The sequence below is a fragment of the Homo sapiens genome, chromosome 13, assembly GCF_000001405.40.
Source record: "Homo sapiens chromosome 13, GRCh38.p14 Primary Assembly".
In the NCBI taxonomy this organism is placed as follows: Eukaryota; Metazoa; Chordata; class Mammalia; order Primates; family Hominidae; genus Homo; species Homo sapiens.
The window spans coordinates 47303761-47308165 of record NC_000013.11 but is presented as its reverse complement, the minus strand read 5'-3'; the positions used below and the strand labels follow the sequence as shown (position 1 = coordinate 47308165).

The following is a 4405-nucleotide window of genomic DNA, read 5'->3' as shown; positions in this document are numbered from 1 at the left end:
GTACCCACAAAAATTAAAATAAAAAATTTTTCAAAAAGTAAACAGAGGAAAGTAGGAACCTTGGGAGTACTATGAATATGTTAAATTCATAGTGCTATGAATATATGAAAGTACTGTGAAATATGAATGGTGCTAAAGAAATGCAGCAAACTCAATAAATAAACCTAGAGACTAAAAAACACGTAGTGGTTCTTTTATCCTCCTCACTCGGCTCTTTGTCTTTCAGTTGGTATATTTAAATTATTAATGTTATGTATTTATTGATATATCTGACATATTTCTTGTTCTGCTTGTTTCCTCTGTTTTTCCTTTTCTGTTTTTTTTTTTTCTGCCTTCCTGTAGGCTACTTAAACTTCTTGGAATTTAATTTTTACTTTTCTATAGTTTTACTTTTGTAATTTTTTAGATCTTTTTGTGTGTATTTTTTAGTGGTTGCTATCGATATTACATTATAGAGACATAACTTATTACAGTCTATTGGTGTTGACTTTTTACCATTATGAATACAATTTAGAAATCATACCTCTCCTTTAAGTCCTTTTAATCTTTCTCATTAGTCATACAAAGATCTTATATATTTTCTCCCATATATACATTGAAAATCTCATCAGACAATATTGTCATTTTTTATACTAAGTATTTTATTGTATGTTGCTGCCAGTGTATATAATACAATTAACTTGTGAAATAGAAATTCATGGAAATTCAGAGAGGTAGACGTTAAGGATTGATAAAAGTAAACGTCTGTGTATTATGGCACATGTATTACAGGCATAAGCTTTTGTATGTGCTTCAAGTTTAGCACTCTTGAATATTCACTGGTTCATGAGAAATAGTTTGGGAAACCTTTGAAAGATTCATTTTACTATGAAAAGGAACAGACCTTCTGAGGTCTGAAGGGATTCATACTTGAAGATACTCCAGTCAGCAGAGGTCTGTCTTGTTGAACATTCTGCAGACAGAATTGTTCCCAGCCTGCAGCTGCCTGGGAAATGTTTACACTGTTGAGCCTTGGCTCCAGCCAGAGCTGTTGAGCCACTTTTTTCATAGGAGAAAGTGGTTACACTGGAGGAACCAGACATGGCACATGCAAGAGTCTGACTGATTATTGGGTTGGTGGGTCATGGGTCCAGGGGTGCCAGATAGCAGAGCCATTATTGTCATTTTCATCACAATCATCAAACATAATTTAGAAACTTAAGAGGATAATAAAAGTCTATTGTATTTCCCATCTTTCCTCCTTTCATTGCTCTTCCTCCCTTCACGATGTTCCAAAATACTTCCTTTCTAATTTTCTGTTTTAAGAATTTCCTTTAACAATTATATTAGCATAGGTTTGCTAGTAACAAATTCTCTTAATTCTATTTCATATGAGAATGCCTTTATTTCTCCTTCATTCCTGAAAGACATTTTCACTGGATACAAAATTCTGGGTTGACAGTTCTTTTTTATTTTGGTCCTTAAAAAATCCTATGCCAATTTGAGGGGATAATCTAGACTTCTTACTCAGTCTCTGTTTATACCTTGGGTGAGGGATGACATCTCACTATGCCTTCTCAAATTGCCCCCACTGACACTGCAGGGTAGGGGCAGTGCTTATTATTATCCAGTGTATTCAAAAGTCCTGGCTCCACACTCAAACTTCTCTGATCCCATCGCAGTGCTTTACCACACACACAGCCAGGTGAGGGTGGAAGCTTCTGATGACCAAGATGAGTTAAGGCCAGAGTTTTTTATGTAGTGTTTGCTTGAAGTAGGACAGTTACTGTCTAAAAGTTTTGTGTCTTGCTATGCTGCATCTCTCTTGCTCCTTTGACTAGAAAGAGTAGGCTTTTCTTAGGTCCCTCTTGTCTGAACACATTGGTATTTCCAATATTTAAGCACCCAGTGGGACATATACGAAGCAGAAAGAAAACCCAGGAAACTCATTGTCATCTTGTCACTCAGGACCTGAAGTCCCTGGCCAATGTGCCTTCTTCTTGCCATCTTTCAGAGCATTCCTATGTTTTTCTTATATGCAATATCATACGTTTTCAGTGGTACTTAGTGGGAAGAACAACAGAGGAGTTCATCTACTACATCTTTTCCAGAACAGAAAATCCAATCACATTTTAAAAATTGGGTTGTTTGCCTTTTTATTATTTGGGAAGAACTGACATCTTAAAAATATTTAACTTTTCAATCAATAAACATCGTTTATATCTTCATTTATTTAGATGTTGTTGAATTTCTCTCAGTAAAGTTTTCATTTCTACCTTGAAAATCCCCATTTCTTTATTCACTATGTCCATTTTCCTTTAAATTAGCAAACATAATAATTGTTTAAAATCCTTATCTGCTAATTCCAATATCTTGATCCTTTCAGTGTCTGCTTCTTGTTTGTTTCTTCTCTCAATAATAGGTTATATCTTCTTTTTTAACATATCTTACCAGTTTTATTTATTTATTTATTTAATTTATTTTTTTGAGACAGAGTCTCGTTCTGTCACCCAGCCTGGAGTGCAGTGGTGCGATCTCAGCTTACTGCAACCTCTGCCTCCCCGGTTCAAGCAATTCTCCTGCCTTGGCCTCCCTAAAGGCTGGGATTACAGGTGTGTGCCACCATGTCTGGCTAATTTTTGTATTTTTTAGTAGAGATGGGTTTCACCATGTTGGCCAGGCTGCTCTTGAACTCCTGACCTCAGGTGATTTGCCCGCCTCAGCCTTCCAAAGTGCTATCTTACCAGTTTTAAAATCTTATTCGGAATACCGTGTTTTAAGCAACAGTGGAGACTAAAGTATGATTTTCTTTTAATTTTATTTTGTTTTCGCTAGAGGTTTCAATGCTATCTTCTCTCTGACTGCTAGAATAGGGGCTACTTATTCAGATTTCAAAAAAGATCAAATTTAACTGGTACTGGTTCACAGCTTTAATAGATTCAATTTAACTTTGGATAACATAGTTTTCAACCTCTCACACTGCTGCTATCATGTTACTGACCTCTATATTCTCAGCAGTATTTGAGCTGGAAAAGAGTTGTGACTCAGTTTTAGATAGATTTGATTAACCTTTGGATTGAATCCCACCAGGGGTCCAGAATTCAAGTACCAGTAGAGTCACTAGCACCTTCTTTACTGCTGCCTTCTCAGTAAAATTTAGTAGATAAAAGAGGATTATTAAGTTGAGTGATGTATTTTTTGTATTTAGGGATCATCTAGATCTCTGTCTATTTATTTTTCCATATCACCTTAAATTTAAAAGTTCAACTATTTTACTTTCCCTTGCAGTGGTATCTATTGTAGGTTTTCTTTCCTATCTGTTAAAACCCAAACCAGTTGGTTGACTTCATGTATGGAAGTTGATATAGTCATCTGCTCAACTCTGAAGGGTTCTTCCTTCTCCGGATGTCAGTTCACCAACATTTCCTTGAGTCCACAACTCTTTGATAACTCAGTAAAAAGTATGATGATAATTTTACCTCCATTTTCTTGTTTGTTATCATAGAAGCGAAGATATTTTTCATTCTTTCGCAATCTAACCTGATGTTCATGAAAGTGTTGTTTACTTGCATAATTAGGTTAAATTGTGGTTAAGCTGCAGCCGAGAGACACTTATCCATGGTTGGGTTTATGTTAACTGGTAAAATATGACTCCTAAAAATTATTAATATATAGCAAGAACTTCTCCAGTGTTCATACCTTTGGACTGATTTTTTTTCATCATAAGTACTTGAAAAATAATCAGAATTGTGGATAATTATTTATATCCCAACTGGTAATTACAGTAGTATTTATAAGAAAAAATTGGAAATCCCCCAAATCTTCAACAAAAGAGGAACGATTAAATTATGGAGAATTCAAATAATAAAATATTACTCAGTAATTAAAAATTTTGTATTGAGTTTTTAATAATTTGGTAAATTATTATGATATGCTAATAGAATGAGTAAGTACAAAGATAGAAATCTCTAGTTTAAGCTCAATTATGTAAAAATATATATTCACAGAGTATATATCAATATATCAAAATACTCTCTCTAGTATTATATCCATTACATGTTTCTGTAATTTACCTATTTTGACTGTGACAACTTTAAGAATAAATGTTAGAAGTCCAATATAGGGACTGCCTAGAAACAAAGGTAAGAATGGGTAGATGATTAGTTTGGGAAGGAACTGGCATGAAAACAAGGATGAAGGGAATTGAACAAAGTAACAGATACTTGTAAAGCTAATATAATTAAAGATATAGTGAAGCAGATGAAGTCCTTTCAATGAGACATGTTATGTTTTTTGAGAGAATGCAGCTATGGCAGGAAATGTTCAGCTAATTAGTAACTAAGACTGAGTTAATGTTACATATATACTAGGCCAAAGCAAGAGCTGAAGAACTTGTACATCCATCACATGGCTTGCACAAGAAAAA

The 4405-nt window shown here is 34.3% G+C and overlaps 1 pseudogene; it reads right to left on the bottom strand.

Moving 5' to 3' along the window:
* Positions 626-1152, bottom strand: GNG5P5 (G protein subunit gamma 5 pseudogene 5; annotated as a pseudogene).